The sequence below is a fragment of the Homo sapiens genome, chromosome 5 (genome assembly GCF_000001405.40).
Source record: "Homo sapiens chromosome 5, GRCh38.p14 Primary Assembly".
NCBI classification, from domain to species: Eukaryota; Metazoa; Chordata; class Mammalia; order Primates; family Hominidae; genus Homo; species Homo sapiens.
Window position 1 is genome coordinate 56,510,571 of NC_000005.10, and position 22,940 is coordinate 56,533,510.

Here is a 22,940-nt window from a genome sequence, read left to right on the forward strand (position 1 = left end):
AACCTTTCCCTGCCCCCCTTGCTCATTCTGCATCCCTTTTGCTCTCTTAACCAGCAGTCACCAAGGAAAAAACAGCCTTTCCCAGGATGGCTTCTTGGGCCTCTTGGGCCCACGTGCTGAAAGAGTATAAATCCCAAGGTCCAATAAGTTAGAGAAGTGTTGCCTGCTGAATGCGTCTTCTAGGAAATTCACTTTGTTTATCAGGATAGAGAAATTGTTTGAATCTCAATCAAGCCACTATTTCCCAAACATATAAGACTTCCAATCCTTTATTCCATGTTAATATTCTGTATATGCAGGTTCTACCCATCATTTGGGGGGAATATTGTGCTGAAGACACTCTGAAGTGACTGATCGTAGCCACAACTCCAAATTCTCTAATTTTGCACACATTTCCCCAATCCTGTAGGCTAACCCCAAATTCTTTAGTCTGGCTTTTTAAGGTCCTCCACAATATCTACAATCTAGTTTGGAAGCCTCATTTCCCATTATTCTTCTATATGAACTTTCTGCTTCAACAAAACTCTCCTATTCCTTGTTCCCTAAATAGTCTCTGTCCGTTTCTGCCTCCCTATTTGCATACATATTCTTTGGGGGGAGGGGCTTCTGAAATTTCATAAAGACGAGGAGAAGTGTCAGAAGTTCTTAATTAGTAATTTAATATTGTATCTTTTGGGATGCTTTGTTGCAAGCCACAGAAATAGGCTCTACTTAATTTAGGAAGAAGAATTTATTGAAAGGACACTGGGAAACTCAAAGAATTCCTAGAGTATCCAGAGAAAAAGGCTTGAAGACTGTGCAGCCAGGAACAACACTGTAAATTCCACTGCAGGATTCATTCATTGAGGACACCATAGCAGCCATACTGCACCTGGACACTGCAGCTCACACCATCTGCACCATCAGCAAGTGTTCTTGGATGCCGATGCTAGAACCACTGGCCCTGCTGCCTCTGGGAACTGGATGTAGCTGCCATTGTGTCTTAAATCTGCCAGAATGGATTTGGCATGTTCCTTTCTTTTTGTCACTAGCAGATTCAAAGACCATCTGATTGGTGGAATCTTGATCACGTGTCCATATCTAGTGGCAAGGGAGACTGGGAAGTCCAGTGTCTGGAATTTCAGCTTCTACAGGAGGAGCTGAGCTCTATCTCATAAGAGGATTTCCTAAAGAGAGGAAGAAGTTTCAGATGATGAGTGGTCAAAAAGAATGACAATTGTCTATATTGTTATGTCATGGATTATTGAGAAACACAAGAGAAAGAAAGACTTTTTTAATACCCCCAAAGGAGTTTACAGTTTAGCTAAGTAGACAAGATAAACAGATGAGATTATTTAAAAATAAGATAACATATAATAATGTAATAAATAAGACTGCTTAATTAAAAGATACTAACATTATGCTGAACATAATCAACAGAGTTAGAGAAAGTATATTTATATGTTACAGCTCCAAGCCATTGCTTTTCCAACAGATGTTTTTCTAGGGCAAAATGTATGTAAACAAGCCCTGTTTGCACCTAGAATATTTCCACACATCCACCCAGCTTCATTTTCCAAGCTTATTTGCACGAAGGCAAGCTCCTTGATTGCCCAAAAGATGCACGGTGCTCAGGACTGAACCATGTGTAATTTAAAAAAAAAAAAAAAAAAAAAAAAAAAAAAATATATATATATATATATATATATATATATATATATATATGACAGATATTAAGTCTGAAGAATCAGAAACAATGGCATGAACATGGTAATGGGTATAGGTTTTGACCTGGAGTCAGAGGGAAAGAGAATGAGCCTGGAGTTCTGGGAAATCCATCATCACTCTTCTGCATTGTGTGGTCACTTCTGTCCCTAGGGAAGGGCAGTGCTAAGCTGCGCCGGGGTAAAGGCCTATGCAGAGCCAAGAGTTGAGTGCTTTTCCTATGCTGTGTCAAGGTCACTGCTGCACAGGGCATTTGGCAGCTCCGCTCCTGCAGTCAGCCAATGGCCACTCAGGATTAACAGTGAATGCTGTGTGGGCAGAGCTGGAAAAAAATGGGTCACTTGGCTGGTTATGGGATATAGAAGGCCAGCATCCAGGGCCTCCACCCATAACAGCCATCCAGTCCCAGGGCCCTGCTGCTCCTCCACCTTTCTCTTTCACGCCATGCAGCTCTCTGCATCACATTCTCCACCTTTCTAGGTGTCAATGTGGCCTCCAGAAAGAGGGTGAAAGTGAAAACAAAACTAGGGGGAAGAAATTAGGTGACAGCTTCACTCCTCCAAGAAGGAAAGGGATTGTGCAATATGGTAGAAAGAAAACTGATTCAATAGCTTTCTCTAGCTATTATCTGGGCGATCTTTGGCAAGTGATTCTCCCTTCAAATCATCATCAGTAAAATGGGATGATATGAGACAACTCGTGTGAAATTATAGCATTCTAAAAAGAACAACTACCTACAACTAGGTTAGTTCAAAAACTATCTTCAGTCCTAAGTGATACTTAGGAGTGATTGCAGCTCAAGCTGCTGGTGAGGGACAGCCGATAATCTTCTGCTGTGGCTCTTGGCTTTGTTTGCATCCAAGAAGGTTCTTAAAGAAAAACTCTTCTATGTTAAGATTGGTTGGTGTAATCAGAGCACAGGCATCAAGAGGAGCTCTCATCCAGCCTCGTCATCCACCCCACCTGCTTGGATTCTCTTTTCCATATCATGTGTGCATGCATGCACACACACACAGACACACACATGCTCACACTCCCATCCACACACCCCTGAGGAATGCATAAAGTGTAATAATGAAGTAATGACTAATGCCTAACAAGGGCAGTATGTAAAATGTTGTGCCAGTAGTGGACCTAGACTCCCAGGTTTGGAAATCCTGACTCTGCAGTTTGCTTGCTGTATGACCTTTGACACATTCCTCAACCTCTCAGTCCCTCAGTTTCCACATCTACAAAATAGGATAATAATAGTACCTACCACATAGGATGTTGTGAGGACTACCTGGGTTGATACACGTAAAGCACTTAAGGTAGGACCCAGCATGCAGTCATTACTCAATAACATTAGCTGTTATAATTTTTAATATTATTTTCATACATCTAACTGAGTGCAGTTGTATTCAAAGCATGGGTAAGAAGAGGAAAAATGGATTGTACACGTTTTGTGTGCTGTGTCTTCTATATACATGACTTTATTGAATCCTTACCTTAACCTGAAGCTCAGGGCTATTATTATTCTGAGGCTGATGTCCAGACAGGTAACACGTCCAAGGGCTGGAAAACGGGGAGCTGACATTCAAACCCGGGTGCTCCTGGCCCTGTGCTCCCAGAATGCCATGCTTTCCCTTCTCTGGGACACTGCCACCATCACCTGAAATCATCAAAATTCTTCTTTGGGAATTTCCTTCAGAACTTGATGACTGTGTTTAGAATTTCCTCAGCACTGGCAAATCTTCTTTTGAAAAATACATTGTTAGCATTTTTAAAAAGTCATTTATTGTCAAGATGAATAACTCAATAGGGTAATACTGTTTGGGGCTAAAATTAAGGTATGATTAATGTTTTTAAGTGGCTGGTTAACCAGTTCTGTAAACAATTCCAAGAGTAAAAGTTCTGAAATATTTTTGAAAAACTCAATATCCCAGAAAAACTGCACTTCCCAGCCCTCTTTTGGCTATGTTGGCTCTGACATGCTTCTGTAGATGGGTTTTTAACAGCTTGGTTGTTCCTTGAATATGTAAAAGAACATAGATTAAGACTGTTTGCTATGGTTTGGATACTTGACCTCTCCACACCACATATTGAAATTTGATCTCCAATGTGAGAGGCGGGGCAAAAGGAGGGCATTTGGGTCAGGAAGACAGATCACTCAGGAGGAGATTAATGCCCTCCCTTGGAGGTAAGTGAGTTCTCGGTCTATTAGATCCTAGCTAGAACTGGTTGTTAGAAAAATCCTGGCACCTTCCCCTGTCTCTGGCTTCCTGTCTCACCCCGTGATCTCTGTACACACTGGCTCCCCTTCCCCTTCCCCCATGAGTGGAAGCAGCCTGAGGCCTTCACCAAAAGCGGGTGCTGGTGCCATGCTTTTTGTGCACCCTGCAGAACCATGAGCCAATTAGCCTCTTTTCTTTATAAATTCCCCAGCCTCCGGTATTCCTTTACAGCAACACAAGTGAACGGAGACACTATCTGAGCATAATTATGAGTTGTGTTTGGGGCCTGTGGTAGGATGTGAGAGTTGGCATTCCCTGCTCTTTGCCTGTCTTTCTACAGTGATGTTCTCCTCCATGGTCCCTGGAATATTCTTCTGTCTCCAGGCCCCACAAAACCCAGAACCATTTTGGAGGACAGCATGACAGAGGAAGAGGAATGGCATCGAGAGAGGCACTGTACATGCATTATTTTATTTATCGTCAGAGCAGCCCGTTTCACTGGGGGAAACTAGGCCCAGAGTGGGTCCAGAACCTACTCCAGGTCACACAGCCGGACAGAGCAGAAGCAGGGGTGGCACTTGCCTCTAGATTCCACTTTGCCTGTGGCCAGAGCAGCGTTCTGGCCACCCCAGGCCGGAGCACCTCCCTGCTGAGCCCTTTTAAGTAGCCTAGATTTGGAGGCAGAGCAGTGTAGGCTGGGGTGTAATTAAGTCATTAAGCTGACTGCTCTGGCAGGATGAGGCTTTCTGGCCCACTTGTTCCCGGCTTCAGTAGCACCGATGGTTCCCGGAGATCATCCTCTTTGTGCAAGTGTTTGACTCAGTGGTCTGTACTGGAATTAGACGGATCCCTTTGCCACCACCTCCGGCCTCTAGGGCTTGTGCTTTGGAGGCCCAGCCTTCACATGCTTCTCCTCCAGAGTAGGCTGCTAGAGAGAAGCTGCTAGCTGTGTTGGTGCCCTTGACACGGCTGTCCACATTAACTTCAAGCACTGCCAAATTGGCAGGTTAAACAGGGAACCATCACGTTTTCAAATTCTGTGTTTATCTTATATTTTATCTACCCCAGAACTCATCTTCAAAAAATGGGGAAAGAGAGATGAAGGGGATGATAGAAAAACAAGGTAGCTGAACTTGTACTTTAATTGAAAAAAAAAAAAAACATAATTACTCTAAGCAAAAAATAGTTGTAGACGAAAGCACATGTTCAAAGAAACAAAGTGATCAAAACCATACTAACTTTATGTTTTTTCTCTTCCCACCTAACCTCCAGATTCCTGACTTGTTTCATCCTACTGGTTCTTTTCAAATTATACCTGTGATAATTCAGCTGTTAAAAGAGGAGTTTTGAAGTCCTGTTAATACGTGACTCGAGGAAAATCCAAGGTAGGGAGAAAAATTAAACTCCTCCACCGCTCTGGGGAACTTGGCTTTCTAAGGAGACATTGTTTTGAAACCAAGAACAAGCCAGAGATGACCAAGATTAGGTTTTATACTTTGCTTCTCAAGTCCTGATCCTAATCCATTAGAGCTAATTTTGCCTGATTCCTTTTCTGTATGCTCTGGGCTTGGGTGGGTTTCTCTTAGATGGAGGAAGAGTCAGGAAATGGGTTATGGGGAGGGAGAAAGGGACAGATTTCATTAAACTGCCAAAAATAGGTTTATGCCAGTAATAGCACGTATGATGCAAACTTGCTTCTACATGCAGAATAATCATCTGTATGGGAAGTTGCTTATGAAGATGATGACATTTAAGAGTTTGGCATCCCAGCAGTTTTACCTTTGATCTTGGAAAACTGCCCAAAGTAACTAAGTCATTTACAATCTGCCTTGCTTGCCATTTGAATTATTTTGAGGGTTGAGGGGGCACTTTCTTCTTCATTGTGCATTACCGGAGGCCTACTTTCTGATCTAAAAGAAGCAAAATAGGTGAGTCTCACACTCTGTGATTAAATAACACAAGCTTTGCTCTACAGTGACCTTATTTATACTCCAAATGACAGCCTACAGCAGATCGCATTTGACAAATTTTAATCCTCTTAAACTGAAGTCTGAAACAGATACTCGATAGGCTCTTCATTGCGCCAGAAGTGACAATGCTGTGCTCCTCATGAGGCTCCAGTGGAAGCTGAATCCTCACAGAGGGGCAGCCATCTGGGACTCTGGGTGGAGGCCAGCCCACAGCTCTACACCTCCTGTCTCACCTCCACTCAGCTCTGAGGGTGGGCTGAGGGCAGAAGGAAGTGGAGCTGGAGTTGTAGAGACAGCGGTTTAGTGGAGGGCTCTCTGTCCTGGCTAGTTGAGGTGCGTGATGGGTAGTGGCAGAGAGAGGGGGTAGGGAGTGGGGTGAGGGAAGTCCAGGGAGCCCCGACAGGTGGAGATGGGGAAGTTGGGAAGATTGGAAAGAGAGCGTGTAAAGGCAATGAAACATTTCCCCTGCTCCTGAAGAAAAACATGGACGAGGAAGACATGGATGTTGAGGCTTTAAAGCTGACTTTAAGTAAGGGAGATTGTTCCAGATTATCTGGGGGCCTGGTTCACTCCACTGAATGGCCTTCAGAGCAGAACTGAGGCTTCCTGATGAAGAAATTCTGACTGTGCAGAGCAACTTTGGCCCGTGTCCAAGAGTTGAAGTCTGTCTTTTCTGACAGCCTGCCCTATTGATTTCAGACTTGCCTATCCAGTCCCCATAATCAGGTAAACCAATTCTGTGCAATAAATCTGTTAATATCTGTCTCCTTCTGATGTGGTTTTACTGGTTAAAACTTGACTGATGCAGATTTGCAGCCTGGAGTCCCCTTCCAAACGTGAGAATTTGTGGCTTCAGCTGCTGGAAGCCTGGCTGTGGCAGAGGCCCTCAGCTGCCAGCTGTCCTTAGGGAGTGCTTTGACTGAGCAGAGTCCCCTTGCCCCAGGTCACACTCCCTTCCCAGGGCAGCAAAGCTCCAATGACTGTCTGATGTGGGGCTAGAAAGGCTGGGCCCCTGGCCCCAACTCTGGGTAAACCCAAGGGCTGCCTCAGCTTCAGAGCTCCCCATGAACTTGGCTGAGACCTTCATTGTGGCTGCATCATAGCCCCACTGCTCCCTTCACCCCACCCTCCTTTCTTCCCTTCTTACCCAGGCGTTGATTCCCAGAGCACTGCCTGATAAACCTCCTGCCCAAGAATTCTCATCTGCTCCCCAGGAAACCCCATCTGTACCAGGAACCTTACTCCACTGAGTTTCCATCTATTTCCTGCATCTTTGACTTTCCCTTCTTATTCATCTCTTTCCCCTCGCCACATGTAAATGCTCTAGGCTCTCCCATATTAAAAAGAAACACAACCAGGAAACATAATAACCATTCCTAAATTGTGTCATCCTCAAGTTGTGGCTGGTTTTGTTTGTTTGTTTGTTTGTTTTTTCCATATCCCAACTTCTTGAGGAGCTAACTGGACACTGTCTCATCTTCGCCTTCCACTTACTCCTCGATACAGCATGGCTTTTCTCAGCTGCCATCACTCCCTGAAATTGTTCTCAAGAAGGTCACCAGCAACCTCCTCTTTATTAAAATCCCATGACACTCTTCAGCCTTTCCTATATGTGACCTGGTGACTGGCAATGTGATTTTCTTTTGCCTTGATGAAGTTGTTGTCTGGCTCCAATAGCCTCCATCGCCCCCTCTGCACTGGATTCCCATATATCTCCCTGGCTGCTTCCCTTCAGTGTTCTTCATGGACTCCCTTTGTCAGCTGTTCAGTAGCTCCCTTTGTCAGCCTCTTTCTACTCTACACTCTCTCCTTGGGCGATTTGGCCACATCTGTAATTTCAAAGGTCACCTGTGTGCTTAAAGCCTACCAAATCCTTATTTCTAACCTCAGCCTCTGTCCTGGACTCTGAATGCTGCATATCCAACTACGGAACGTTTCTCCCTAAATGTTTTATCTTGTCTAATACTGAATTCACCCTCACACATGTTCCTCCCTTCTGAGCTAATAATACAATACATTCTTCCCACCAACAGAGCCTGCAGTGATCTTCAATTCCGCACCCCCACCCCACCTCCTCCGCCGCTCTCTCTCCCTCTCTCTCTCTCTCTCCCTCTCTCTGTCTCTCTCTTTTTCTCAACTCAGCCACTGGTCACTAGGGATTGTGGTATCATCCTCTTAAATAGTGTATTCTCTCAAAGTAGCCCTACTTCTCCCACCTTAATATTTCATCTCAGATCTTCACTGTTTCACATATTTTATAGCATAATAAACAGCGTTTAAAGCTGAGTGATCTGTGCTCCACACTGTGGAGGGCTTGGCTCTGTCCTTTCTCTGGTTACACCGCTAACCACAAGTCAAGAAGTCCATAGGACCTACAGGACATTGCCACCATGGGCCCACACACCCCAATTCCAGGCCATGTTTCCATACCTAGAACTGTGGATTCCCTGTCCAAATGGCCTGAGCCTGCTTCCAGGGCTGACGTGGGACTCTCCCACAGATCCATGCCCCCACGTGTATTCTCCATTGCTGGAGTGCATGCCTGTAGGCTTGAAAGTGGCAACAGGTGGCTGTTTGCAGCGGGGAGGGACAGAGGCTGGACGGAGGAGTCAGATAGTTCATATGCACATGTGTGCAGAATTTCTTGTGGTTCTAGATGGAGCTGGGGTGTCAGGCAGAGGGAGAACAGGGGTAAGCTGTGACTACTTTCAGTCTTTCTCCCAGCCCCATGAATGCTGGGGAAGAGGGTTCTGGTTATGAAGCATCTTTTATACACCAAGTACAAAGCTAAATAATGGGAATTAAAGATGAACCAGACATACTCATTGCCCTCCAGAAGCTCAGGAACAGACAAGAAGGGGAGCCATTATAAAATGAGATGAAATCCATTTTCATAAAGGCATGTTTGAAGAGCTGTGTGGGGTGGCAGGGTCAATCCCTGCCAGATAATAGGGAAAGACTTCTCGCATGGGAGAACATTTGACCTGAAATTTGAAGCTTGAGAGTAAGTTTGCCAAACCTGAGAAAGCCACTGTCAGCAAAGAAAACAGCAAACATTCAAAGAACCATGGGCGGCTTAGTGGGCTGGAAGCTCTGGGAGAGGTGGCTGGAAAGGCATCAGGACTGTCATGAAGGGGCTTGTGGGGTTTGCTTAGGAGCTTCTACTTCATCCCAAAGGCCATGGGGAAGCTTTATGCATTTAAAGTTGGGGACTCAGTGGGTATTAGCCACACGTTTGAAAGATTTCTCTGGACTAGCCTCTTAAGGGGTTTCCTCTTCTCCAGCATCCACACCCCTCACTGAGAGTCCAGCCATCACCCTGCTGCCAATCTCAACCTTCTGAAACCCACATTGGATGCTGTCACTCTTCTGCTTCTTCCCATTGCCTCCAGGTGAGAGCCGCATTTCCACTCCCTTTCTGTCCAGCCCCTCTCCTGCCTGCTCAGTCTCTGCCATGTGCTTCTTCTGTTGCAGACATACCCCATCGCTGGCCCCACCCCAAATACACCACACTTTCAGATTACTCTGCACCAATGCTCTTCTCCAAATTGCCAGCCTGAATAAGTCCTTATCTTTCAGGCAGTATAGTGGAGAGAAAAGAGCACAGATTTTACATACAGATTGATCAGGGGTGTAGTCCTGGTTCTGCCACTTCCTGGCTCTGTAATGTTCAGCAGGCCACTGAAACTCTGAGCTTTGGCTGCCAAACCTCTCTAAGGGACATAACACCCACTTTTCGAGGCTACTGTGAGGATTAAATGCAATAACAGAGGTAAGTGTGTGGCGTGAGCACAGCAGACTGCACCTGGAGTGAGCCTGCTGGACCCACAAGCCTGCTGGACTTCAGCTTTCCCCGCAACAGACCCCTGCTGCGCTTCCCAGTATGTACATCTGGAATCTGTCTTAGTTCCTTGCTCTAACCCAGCCTGGTTCCTGCCACATTCTTCACACCAAGGGAGGCCCTGCTCCCCAAGCCCCAGCCATTGCCTGGTGTCCTGCTGCAAACCCAGGGGATCCCTGGAGGCCACGATGCTGCCATTTGCCCGCACTCCAGCCCCTCTCCACCACCATGTCAGCCCCTGCCAGAGATGGATGCTGACACCCATGGATCCGAGCTCATTGCATTGTTTGGATGTAATTTTGATTTCATTGCTATTCACCTACAAAGTTGCCTAGCTCCTAAGCCCAAGTTCTGCCTTTTTCCACCTTATTCGCATCTTCCCATCAGCTAGCAAAGGATGGCTTTGAAATCTGTGCCTTATACACTGTACAATAAGTCCCATGGCTTATGACCATAACTAAGGTGATTATGTAATTTATTATCTAAATCATTACTTTTTGAGACTGAAAGGGCACAATCAGAGTTAACTAAATGTGTGGTCATTCAACCCATAACCCAGATAGCATTGGTCACTGGGGAGATGCAAGAGTGAGCCCAAGAAAGAAATTTTTGTCTTCATCTATCTCCTCTATGGGCTGTGCCTATGTTGCCTTCAGCTGTAGAGACGTCACTTGTAATTTTAGTTTGTTCTCATCAGCCCGCTCTGTTGTTATGGTTCACCTAGGGAAGCATCCAGCCACTAAGAAATAGAAGGGAGAACAATGCTTCACTGCCTGCCATGCCTGAGGCGCAGAGCGGCTGTTGGCTGCTCTGCCAGGAGCTCTGCAGGGACATGGCAGCCGTGCTCCGTGTGGGTGGGAAAGGTGGCAGCATTTTGCGGTGCTCGTCATTCTTATTTGACAACTGTTTGGGGTTTTAGAAACTCTTGGCATTGGTTTATAACACCCCACCCACCCTGTCTCGGTAACTACCATTTGCCCTCCCTACAAGAGGTCATGCCAATTCTGAGATGAGGCAAGGCAGGCTCAGCAGCCCTGGCTGGCTCCCACTCTGACACCTAAAGAGCTTTGTCTTGCCTCTGGTCAGACTCACAACTTCCTGTACCCCTCAGAATCAAGCCCTTATGAGGGGGTTCAAGTGCCAGAATGCTGACTTCCCACAGACTGGCAATGGAAATGCTTTCAGAAAGCATATTGAGTTAACATGATTTTTAGTCATTTGCATCATTATGAGAGAATCTGTGGGTGTGTGCCTTAGAGAGTGTGAACACATTTATTCTGGCGTTTGATAATATATTGCCATTTAAAGGAAATTCCCTTCAGCTCTTTTATTTCACCATCATGTATGGCCTTGAGCTAGCCCGCCATATGAACCTCCTAGGAGTAGGGTGAAATGGAGAAAGGAACCAGGACCAAGTTACCCTGTATACGTGACAGAGATAATGGAGGAGGGGGTACAAAAGTGCCCACTGAGGGGCTCAAATAATACTCTTTAAAGTCTCCCTGCAGGGCAGGGCATGGCAGCTCATGCCTGTAATCCCAGCACTTTGGGAGGCCGAGGCAGGCAGATCACGAGGTCAGGAGTTCAAGACCAGCCTGGGCAACATGGTGAAACTCCATCTGTACTAAAAATACAAAAATTAGCCGGGCGTGGTGGCAGGTGCCTGTAATCCCAGCTACTCGGGAGGCTGAGGCAGGAGGATCGCTTGAAACCAGAAGGCAGAGATTGCAGTGAACCGAGAGCGCACCACTGCACTCCAGCCTGGGTGAAAGAGCGAAACTCCATCTCAAAAAAAAAAAAAAAAGAGTCTCCCTGTATTGTGCCCCCACCTCAACTTTGAGAATTACCATTATATTTGTTTAAGTCCTCCTAAAACTAGTAATTATTGAGCGATTGCTTTGTACCAGCAGTTCCTAACCCACATAATCACCATGTGAGCAGGCACTGTGGTCCTCACTTTACGGATGTGAACACAATGGCCCACAGACCTTAAAACAGTTCCCCAAGAGCACACGCTAGTAAGAGGTAGCTCAGAGCCAGGTCTCTTGGCTTTGAAATCTGTGCCTTATACATTGCACAATAGTCCTCTCAATTTTATGCTGCAGACCTTAGCCACAACGGAGAGATTCAGTTCTGTGTGTGGTCCATTTATCATAATGACTGTCATCTCGGGTAGAATAGACAAGGACAAAATGTATACTGCCTACCTTTTTGAAAAAGAAGTATATTTGGTTGTTCTGGGATAAGGGATGGGGAAGAGAGTGAAAGCATTCAAATTAAATTATAAGGATATGATAGGCCAATTTAAAGATAATCAAAGTCTTTGGGTTTTCATTATTTTATTTTGCTTGGATTATTCTTGAATTGGCTGGAACTCCAAATCATGCTTAGAATTAATTCCCCAAATCTTGCATTTAGGAAAATGGCCTCAGAATGCAATTAATAAAATGGCAAATTTTAATTCATCATTCTAAATTCTCCATTACTTCAAACACATATTTCAGGCAGATTTGATATATAGGTATTTGAAATTACTAGGAGTCATAAAACAAGGCATTAAGTCTGGAATCTGGAATTTTCCCTTTAGAATAAACCTGCATTCGATGATTATTCCTACATGAAACTGTGCTATTGCAGCCCTTGCTCCATTATTCAACTTTGTAAATAGGGTAGATGGAATCATAGGAAGCAGTGCTGACAGTTACTAAAGTGTAGTTGGAGGCCTTTACAAGTTTAATAAAACGCAGGGGAAAGGGGAAGAAAAAGAATGGGGTTTGCCCTGGAAAGGAGATTCCAGGGTCAGGAGACAATTGTGTAACTTTCTGAGTTCTGCCCTCCCTGGGCCAGGCCAGGTCACTTGGCCAATTCTTGCCAAAACTTTTCAACCCAGTGACTCAGGAACTGGACTTTTCCATTCTAGCCTGTGGGAATGTGGCTGTGATTTTATAACTGAAGTCCACAGAACAATGGGATTTGCCTTTTGAAAAATTGCTTTTCAGACACCAGTACTGCAAAACACCTACTTCTACTGGCTCACCAGTGGAGCTCTTAAAACTTTTTAAAAACACTCAGTTCTTGGGTGAACAACACACCCAGCCTCTCCCCAATAACTAGAAAAAAAGGTCAGCATCCTCCACATTTGAAGGTCAAAGTCCTGGTCAAAGATGCTGTTTTGAGTCACCCATGGATAATGGCCAATTTGATAGAAGATATAGAAACAAACAAACAAACAAACAAAGACCATGTAAATCAAGCTTGCCTTTAGATGTTTGGCCTAGAATAGGGAGTATAGCTTAGTGCCTAAAAACTTGGACTGTGAAGAGAGACAGGTCTGGGTTCCAATCTCAACCACATAGGCAAGTTATTTAAACTCTATAAACCTTAGTTTCCCATCTGTAAAATGAAGATGTCGATTGTACTAACATATATTTGTTATGAGGATTACATTTTTAAAAATTCACACAAAATACCTGACATAGGGGAAATAATAAAATCATATTGTATAGACAGAAGCATGCTAAATAGAGGATTCTTGTGTCCACTGAATGCAGGTGCTACTGTGTGAGGCAGACTCAAATGGCCTCTCAAGTGGCTGGCTTGCTTGCCTCTTTCTCTGCCTTCTTACAGGAAAGCAATTCCTAATGCCTGACATGGCTTGAAAAAAGCTGACAGGGAACAGCCTCCAGATATAACTGAGCAGGAAGCTAGAAACAGCAATCCCTGCACATTCTGCTAAACTCAAGTTTGAGGGAAGTCTGGTGGTGCATCCTGGCTTGGACTAGGGAAAAGCAACTGGCCAAGATCATGGTCGAGCCACCAATTATCACCTCCTCTGAGGAACGCACACCCTTTTTTAAGTAATCAACCAATTAAAATTTTAAACTCAGGAATCTTTCTCTTAAAACATACAGATTTTTATTACAATTTCAAAAACATCCAAGACAATTATTTATAGCCTAAATGCAATTATTTATAGCCTTGTAAAAATATGGGCCAGATGAATAGAAAAGACGGCTGGTTTTGTTCATTTGTTTTTACTCTCTCACTGCACCACTATGTGGTTTAGAGTTACTGCATTTTGTTGTTAGCAACTGGATAATTTCCAACCGGTTATAAGAATCGAACCTGTTTGGTTTATCACACACAGACACACACACAGAGTTGTGTATATAAATACAATCTAAATGTCCCCTCAATGGGTAAACAGGAGTTGAAACAGTTGGAATATTCATTACTATGGGTAAGTTAGAATTGTATGAACGTGGGCAGAAAATTTTCCTTCCCTGGGTCTTGGGTTTTTGAAATATAAATAAATGCACCTAATTATGCTTACAGATTGTTTCATTCACCTAGCGGTGTTTTAAAAATGTGAATGTGAATGACTTTTCTAAGCACTCACTTCCTAGTTCCCTAATATCACCCAGCTGCCTGCTTCTCACATTTGCTTCTCTTCTTGGTGCCTGGAAGCATTTGGGCTTGCAGACCCTGCATGAGATGATTTAGGCTTCCTCTAACTTCCAGACTCTGCTATCCTGATTCTTACTGAGTTGCTGAGTTGTCGAATCTCTTTGTTGGGAGAGTAAGTAAAACTCTCACTCTTTTACAGATAGGCTTGCGGATTTATTAGGAAGAAATGAAGCATGCTCAGACAAAAAGAAAAAAAAGTCAATTTCTTATTATTCTTCAATTTTTTAATTTCTTTGCAGATATTTTGGAAGATCCCTGTTCTGTAACTCTACATTCTTATCTGCAAGGTATCACTTATTTCAGCCAGTTAATAACCACCTCTCCTTGTCAAGATGTTATATCTGAGACACTCCCAAAAGTTTCTGCTGGTTTTTCTTCCTTTGTCTTTGGCTTTCCTTAGGGATATTGGGCAAATATCCCTGACAACTTAAACCTTGATGTGACAAATAGAGATTTCACATTTATGATTAAACCATCATGATTCCACAAAGGGACAACCTGAGCCTTCATTTGGTTTGGGCTTGGAGCCAACAGAAGTTGAGTCAGACACTCCTAGTGAGTAAAGGCTCGCGGGCTCAACTTGGAATCGAGCAGGGCAGAGGGGCCTTTGGTTGTAGAGCTGTACTCAAAGAACATAACACTCCTCCTGCCAAACCAAACTTAATGGCTCTGCCCTCCAAAAGTCACAGCTTTTATCAACCAACTGGTATTCTACTGTGAGATGCACAATCTATCCCACTTTGATCTCAGCAACAATATGCTTGAGGCAATGATCTCAATTTTGCAATCATAGCTGAATTGATGTAAAACTGGGGACAATCACTTTACAACTTTCTTTACTCAAATCTCATTTCTCCCTAATAGCAGAGCCACTGCCCCCAAACTGACAATCGGCTAGAACAGTGTGCAGAATCACCTGAGGATCTTGCTGAAATGATAATCCCGACTCAGTGAGCCGGGAGTGGGCCTATGATTCTGCCTTCTGACTGCTCCCAGCTGATGTGGGTGCTTATGGTCCACAATTGCATTTGGAGTAGCAAGGACCTAGACAGCTTTGTCCATTTCAATTAGGTGTTTATTTGCTTCCAAGTGCTGACTTCTGTGCTAGGTGCTGGGAATACAAAGATGCATGAGACAATTGCTTTCCTCGGAGAGCTCACTATTTAATGAAGAGGTAGACACATAAATATCTAACTATGGTGTACATGATAATTGCTATCATTACAATATGAATGCAGTCCTTTGGCACCAAAGAAAGAAGTGAGAGATAAAATTATAACTTACAATCAATGTACAAATACTCCTATCTCTACCTACCTCTGCCCTTTTTTTATCCTGTGCATGTTCCAACATGAAAAACACTTGTAACGTGGAACCCAGATCAGACCTCCCTTAAAACTGATATTTCCAAGAAGTCAAGCTCTGGACAAACTGCATATAAGCAGATGCTTTCAAAAAGGTGAAATCATGATTCTCATATAAATATAAAACGAATGTGTGTCAAATACTTTATCCAATTAACACTGGTCGAAGAGCATTTGAGAAGCTACGTATTTAGAGGCAACGTTAGGATAAGATTGCCAGGTCAAGCACAAAGCTGGTCAATATCCAACAGAGCCATAAACTGTAAGATAACTTTTGGGTTATCTTTTCTAAGGGACAGAAATTATTTGCACCTCCAGCAGATAAAATCTGCCTGTTAAGAACTGGATCTCTAGAGCTGTAAGGTAGCTCAAACAATAGAACGTCAACCTAGCACTAAGTCCCTGGTAACCTCTTTCGCTTATTTTCAAGTTTCAGATAAATTTTCTGATTTCACACCCAGCCTCCAGAAAATTATTGCAAGATGGGAGAAGATCCCCCTTTACTTCAACTAGCTCTAAAGGTACTTTAGAAACTGAACCTTCCTAATTTACCTGATTGGATCTCATTCCCAGATGAAATGATTGTTAGTAATAGCATCTGTCATTGATTGAGGTACTAGATTATGTGTTTTAGGTACATTATCTCTCTCAGTCTTCACGTCAGCCCTTGAAGTAAGTACAACTATCCCTCCCTGACAGTTGATGAAATAATCTCAGGGAGGTTAGATGAGTTGCCCAAAACCATGCAACTACTGGCACAGCCAGGATTCAACACAGTAATATTATTATGAATACAATAAGTAATTAGCAAATGAATGTGAGGCCTTAATGTTAGACAAGAATAGGTTGGGTTTGGGATCAACGTGATTTGTACGATTTTTTTTCCACAGTGCTTAACATTTGCAGGTCCTTTGGATGAGGGCATTGTTTTCAGAACCTATGTTAAAAATAGAATAATATTTGATTGAAAAAGAGTGGGGAGGCCAGGAGAGAGCAGTTTGCTATGGGACAGACACTGTGGCATTCCAGGCTGCAGTTTTAGGGCCTGGAACCACAGGAGCGCAGTAAGGGCAGGGCTGGGCAGGGCTGGGCAAGGCAGGGTCGGCTCACACTCCCCACCTCTGGCTGCTCCTTGGCACCTGGCTGCATGGCTGGTTCACTTCCTCTGCTACCACGAAAGCTATTTCTCAGGACCTGGGATGAATAATCTAATCAAGAATGATGCCACCTTCCCAAGAAGCACTTCCTGGCCACTCCCCAGTCACCTCCTCAGGACTACATCCTCCTGAGGGCCTGTCATAGAACTTTTCTGCTTAGGGTAGGTAAAGGGACGTCCTAAGAGATGAGCCATTAGCTGGGGTGGGGCAGATTGCAGAGCAGGAAGGCAGTCTCTCTCAGAGCAGAACAGGGCTACAGGCAGGCAGGGAGCCACAGCACCTATCCCAGAGGTCATTTCTGATGTTAGAGTTCCCTTGGATATTTGTTAAAAAATGTGTCCTCCCAGACCCCAACCCAGACTTACTGAATGAGAAGAAACTCAGGGATAAAGCTCAGAAATCCTTAATTTTTAACAGCCTCTCTTGGTGATTCAATCTGAAAACCTTTTGTCCCAGATCACTAGTTCTTACCCCTGATTTCACATTAAAAATTAAAACCACCTGAGAAACTTCTTTTTTTTGAGACAGGGTTTCACTCTGTCACCCAGGCTGGCGTGCAGTGACACAAACTTGGCTCACTGCAGCCTCGACTTCCCAGGCTCAACAATCCTCCCACATCAGCCTCTCAAGTAGCTGAGACTACAGGCACACGCCACCACTCCTGGCTAATTTTTGTATTTTTTTGTAGAGGTGGGGTTTTGCCATGTTGCCCTGGCTGGTCTCGAACTCCTGGGCTCAGGCAATCTGCCTGCCTCAGCCTCCCAAAGTGCTAGGATTACAGGAGTGAGCCACCATGCCGCCCCCCACCCTGTCCCTGAGAAACTTCCAAAAGCAGCATGTCCTGGCCCAGAAATCTGTACTTTTTAAGTTCTCTGTCCCACCCATTCCAGGGAGATTCTAAAGTAAAGCTAGTGTGGAAAACCATTTTTCTAGAATTCAGTGCTTCTCAAACAAGCGTGCATTCAAATCATCTGGGAATCTTGTTAAATGCAGATATTGATCCCGTACGTCTGGGGCAGGTCCTGCGACTCTGCATTTCTAATAATCTGTGGTGCAGCAGATGCTGCTGGTACTACTTTGAGTGGCAAGATTCTCCATGGTAGATCCTTAACCTTGGCTGATCACTAGGATCACCCGTGCCGATTGCATTGGTTTCTTAGGGCTGCTGAAACGAATACCAGAAACTTCTGGCTTCAAATAGCACACATTTATTCTCTTACAGTTTTGGAAATCAGAAGTCCAAAACCAGTTCCACTGGGCCAAAGTCAAGGTGTCAGCAAGGCTGCCTTCCTTCTAAAGGCTGTAGGAGAAATCCATTTCCTTGACCTTTCTAGTTTCTGGAGGGCACTTACGGTCCTTGGCTGCTCATGGACCCTTCCTCCATTTGCAAAGGGCATCATCACTCCTATCTCTGCTTCCCTTGTCCCCTGGCCTCCGACTCCTCCCCAATAAGGAACCTTGTGGTTACGTCAGGCTCACCTAGATAATCCAGGGTGATCCCCTCATCTCAACACCCTTAACTTAATCACACCTGCAAAGTCCCTTTCACCATATAACAGCATGTTTATAGCAGTACAATTCGCTATTGAGAAAATATGGAACCAGCCCAAATCTCTATCAATCAACGAGTGGATGAAGAAATTGTGGTGTGTGTATATATATATATATATATATATATATATATATACACACACACACACATATATATATATACACACACATATATATATACACACACATATACATATATATAATTATGTTTTTGTATTTTTGTATATATATTGTGTATATACATATACCACAATTTCTTCATCATATATTCATATAGATATATGACGGAATACATCATAATTCATATATATATGATGGAATACTACTCAGCCATAAAAAGAAACGAATTAATGACATTTGCAGCAACCTGGATGGAACTGGAGACTATTATTCTAAGTGAAGTAACTCAGGAATGGAAAACCAAACATTGTATATTCTCACTCATAAGTGGGAGCTAAGCTATGAGGATGCAAAGGCATAAGAATGACACAATGGGCTTTAGTGACTCGGGAGGAAAGGTTGGGAAGGGGGCGAGGGATAAAAGGCTACAAATTGGGTGCAGTGTACACTGCTTGAGTGATGGGTGCACCAAAATCTCACAAATCACCACTAAAGAACTTACTCATGTAGCAAAACACCACCTGTTCCCCCCAAACCTATGGAAATTAGAAAACAAAATCACAGGCTCCAGGAATTAGAACATTTTTGTTGGGGGTGCATGCATTCTTCAGCCTACCACAGAGATTTTTTTTTTTTTTAATTCTGAAACTGAGGTCCCTTGGTAAAGACCCTGTTGTGTTTGGTCTAGGGCAAGGCCAGGCCCAGGTATTGTCAGAGGCTCTGGGCTGAGGACAGCACTATGCATAGGGGGTTTGCGAAATGCCGCTCCCCCTAGGCCAGGGCACACTCGCGCAGGGCTTCCCTCCACCCCTTCCACTGATTCCACCCTGGACTTCCACTCAAAAACCCCAGCACACAAACTGAGGCCTCACAAGAGAGTCAAGGAGGCAAATGTTGGTCTTTCCCCCTGCTTGGGAGGCCATTGCAATTAGGGACCTGGTTCCTGCTTTTTGTCCTGGGCATTCACAGAGCTAGGGCAGCAGGCAGAGGGTTGAATCAGCCCTTCTCCACAAGCAGGCCCTGGATATTAGTGCGTTTCCTTTTTATTTGGCATTTATAGTATTCCCAGCCACTTCTCAACCCTTATAATTATAACCCGGATCCCACTCAGCCTCCTTCGGCTCGGGTTTAAAAGCTAAGCGATCTCTTGAAGCAGCCAACTATTAAAACTTCATGGCCTTTTACGAAATATCAGTTGACAGAAGGTATTATGAAACATTGCCTAGTATAATTACAATTACAGTGCAATTGTCGACACCCATGAGTCAAGCATACTGTGTGAAGTGACAGTCGGGATGGCATAGTTTCTTCCCTCGCTGGCTGCCCAGGCCTGGGGCTTTCCTAATCCGTCTCCATTGCCTGGTCCTTGCCATCAGCTCTGAGGGGCGAAAGCCAGCCACTCAGCCAGACAGGGGCCAACCGCACTGGTGGCTTCTGGCCTTATCTTTGTATGATGCAGCATGCTGGTTTTCTACTAGGCCTTTCCGGGGACTTAAGGCATGGCTTTGAGCAGGGGCTGGGTGTTCCATTTTCCTTTACGACTTCAGCTACAGCAATACAAACAAGCCCTGGCATGTGCCTATCGGCATGGCCACCTAGGTGTCCCAGATGAGTATGATTTTTGGTGGGATCCCCAAGAATATCTATCTCCCTGCCCTCTCTGACTGCCAAACTTCTCCAGGAAGGGCTGTACAGATGCTTTAAGTCTCTCAACACTGCAGACTAACTTCAGCCACCATCTCTCTCCTGTGCTATCTTGAAGATCACCTCAAGGCTGAATCCAATGGCATTCTCCCAGTCCTCACTCTCCTTAATCTCTGTTTTCAGTTTCATGCTGTTGAAATTCGCTCTTAGTATAAAGTCCAAATTTTATTACTATGGGCTATGTCATCTGGCCCCATCCTACCCTTCCAGTTCTATCACATGTCCCCTTCCTCTCTGGTCTCTGTGCACCTGTCACCCTGGCCATCTGCTGCCCTCCAATGTGCCAAGCTCTTTCCTGTCTCAGCAGCTTTGCCCTGCTTTTCCCTCTGCTGGAAAGCCCATCCACTCTTCTTCCTTGGCTAGGTGCTTTTTCACCTGCACATCTGAGCTGGAATAGCACCTGCTGAAAGAGGTCTTCCCTGGCCGCCTCTCTAAAAGGATGTGTCACCCATTCTTAATACCCTCTATCACAGCAGCCAGCTTACTTCCTTCATAACCATTATTGTCTTTTGTAATTATTTGTTAGTTTCTTACTTGGCTCATCTGTTTTTTTCCACTGGACAGCAAGCTTCTCAAAGAGAAGGACCAGATTTGTCTTGTTCATCAATGAATCTCCAGCGACAGGAGCTGAATACATAGACTGAATTGACTGGCCCCCTGTATAAGTTCTCCCTTGGCTCTGCGCTGTTTTGCTCTTCTGCTCTTCTCCCGCTTCTTCTTTCCTTCATTGGCCTCCTCCACCATTTCTTAAGGTTTACCTTGACCCCACCTCTTCTTGTTTGGTTTGTTCATGAACTCCTGTGAACTCAGCAGCCTCCTCTTGAGGGCTGAGAGCTACGTCTCTACCCACCTACACCCTAGGGCCCAATATCCAGCCTTCAATGCCCATCTTCTATTTTATTGTGCTTGCCAGACATTTCCATCAGGAAGGTCATTTTCCCCTAAGCCAGCTTTTCCTCCGGATTTCCGTATTTCTCTTGATGGTATCTTTCTTTAGTCATTTAGGCTTGACATCTCGGCACCATTTTTTACTCCAATCCTCTTCCTTTATTCAATCAGGTAAAAAGCTACATAGTAGCTACACATTATCCTCTGCCATGGGTCTTCTTCAGAAGCATAGCCCCTCTTTCCTGGATTATGCAAATAGCCGCTTAACTGATTTCCTGACCTCAGCTTCTCCCCACCATGCTCCATCTTTCTGTCACTGTATTAGTTGACACTGTATTCTTCCAGTGCTCAAACACCTTTAGTGGCTCCCTACTGGCAACAAAGTAAAGTCCAAATTCCTTAGCCTGATAATCAGGCCCCAAGTTACCTTTCTGGTTGGCCTTCTATTATTGCCCCATCTGTAGTCTCCATGTTCTAATCCAATATTTGTCATTCCCCTCTGAGCCTTCCTACCTCTGATTCTTTGCTTCTGCCATTTTCTTCATCTGCAATGCCCTCCTCCATCTTTGTCTGACAGTATATCAAGAACCACTCCCAAGGCTCCCTTTTTTATACATTTTCCTTTGATTCTGTCCAACAAGAATGACTGAATGCCATGCCTATCTTTTATGTCACTTTTCTCTGAATTTCAGTTATATCTATACCTATGTCTTTTTTAGACCATATTCAAGTTCTATGAGGATTTTTAAAAAAAAACTATGTCATAACAATTGTTACTGCTTCAATGCATGAATACCCCCATGCCCACATGTGTGTGTGTGTGTGCAGACACATACACACGCACACACACAGAGGTAGTTAAAAGTCTTTAACAAGGGCTGTAAATAATTGTCCTCAAGGCACTCTACGGAGAACTCACTGACACCCATGAAAGGATGGAGCAAGTTTATGTTACACAGATGTCAGAATAATGTTGTGGCTTACTCTCTATGGAGCTTGGACCTCTAAATTAAACTGAAACAACCCTTGTGATCATCCTCCCAGCCGTGATTTAACTGCAGTCCCTCATGGAAGGAAACCAGTCTGGACCTAGAGGAAATCAAGCTGTTGTCTGAAAGGCTGGATGCAGGGGCTGAGTGAGCACAGGCTCTGTCAGTACTGATCCCAGTGAGCTTGTCACAGGCATCTGTTTCTGCGGCACGACATAGAGTATTTGCCAAAGGAAGTTGGGGACTTCTTAACCAGTGACAAATGGCTCTCTCATCTCTGAGCTCATGTGGCACTTTTTACCATTCATCTTTAGGGAACCAAAGCAGTAAACATGTCAAGTAACCATTGTAGTGCCCAGTGGCTAGAACACACCCGACCCATAGTAGACACTCAATGTTTCATTAAAGAAAGAATAAATGCATGGGCTTCTCTATTCCCCTCTCACCACGGGGAAGCTCATACTTCCAAATATTAGGATGAAGTGCCTTCTTACCTGGCCTTCTGGGACAGCTCACAGAACACCGGCAACCACTATTGCTTACCTGGAAGCTTTGTCCAGGCACCTGGCATCATAAGTCTCAGGCTCCATGGAAAGAGCCCACCTGGATCTGGAGTTCTGCATGGGGGGTGGGGGGGAAAGAAAAAAATGCTTTAAAATCAGAGAAGGCCTTGTGTTGCATCTCAGTTCTGTGACCTTAGACCTATGCCATCCAATATGGTAGCCACTAGCCACACGTGGCTATTTAAATCGAAATCAAATAAAATTAGATACAATTAGAAACCAGTTCCTTAGTAGCACTAGCCACATTTTCAGTGCTCAATGGCCACATAAGGCTACTGGCTTCCACACTGGACAGCACAGACATAGAACATTTCCAACATTGCTGAAAGCTCTACTGGGTAAGCACTGCCATAGACAAATCACTTAGCATCTTTGAAGTCTCAGTTTACTCATTTGTCAGTTGGATTGG

General features: G+C 44.4%; 1 long non-coding RNA gene across 1 annotated transcript in view, besides 1 other annotated feature; it reads right to left on the reverse strand.

The window, feature by feature from the left end:
- Positions 1-711: 711 nt before the first annotated feature.
- The window catches only part of C5orf67 (chromosome 5 putative open reading frame 67), a 94,975-nt gene continuing 72,746 nt past the window's right edge, over positions 712-22,940 (reverse strand). Inside the window, exons 4-6 of the long non-coding RNA NR_161255.1 lie at positions 22,512-22,585; positions 3,192-3,355; positions 712-1,166 (exon numbers count right to left, since the gene is read on the reverse strand). This is a non-coding gene — a long non-coding RNA (chromosome 5 putative open reading frame 67). The remainder of the gene's footprint in view (positions 1,167-3,191; positions 3,356-22,511; positions 22,586-22,940) is intronic.
- Positions 4,081-4,581: an enhancer, noted in NCBI's record as "H3K4me1 hESC enhancer chr5:55810478-55810978 (GRCh37/hg19 assembly coordinates)". NCBI's record gives its function as "activates a minimal SCP1, AML or CMV promoter by ChIP-STARR-seq in naive H9 embryonic stem cells {active_cell/tissue: H9 hESC(naive)}" and the evidence as "EXISTENCE:reporter gene assay evidence [ECO:0000049][PMID:30033119]".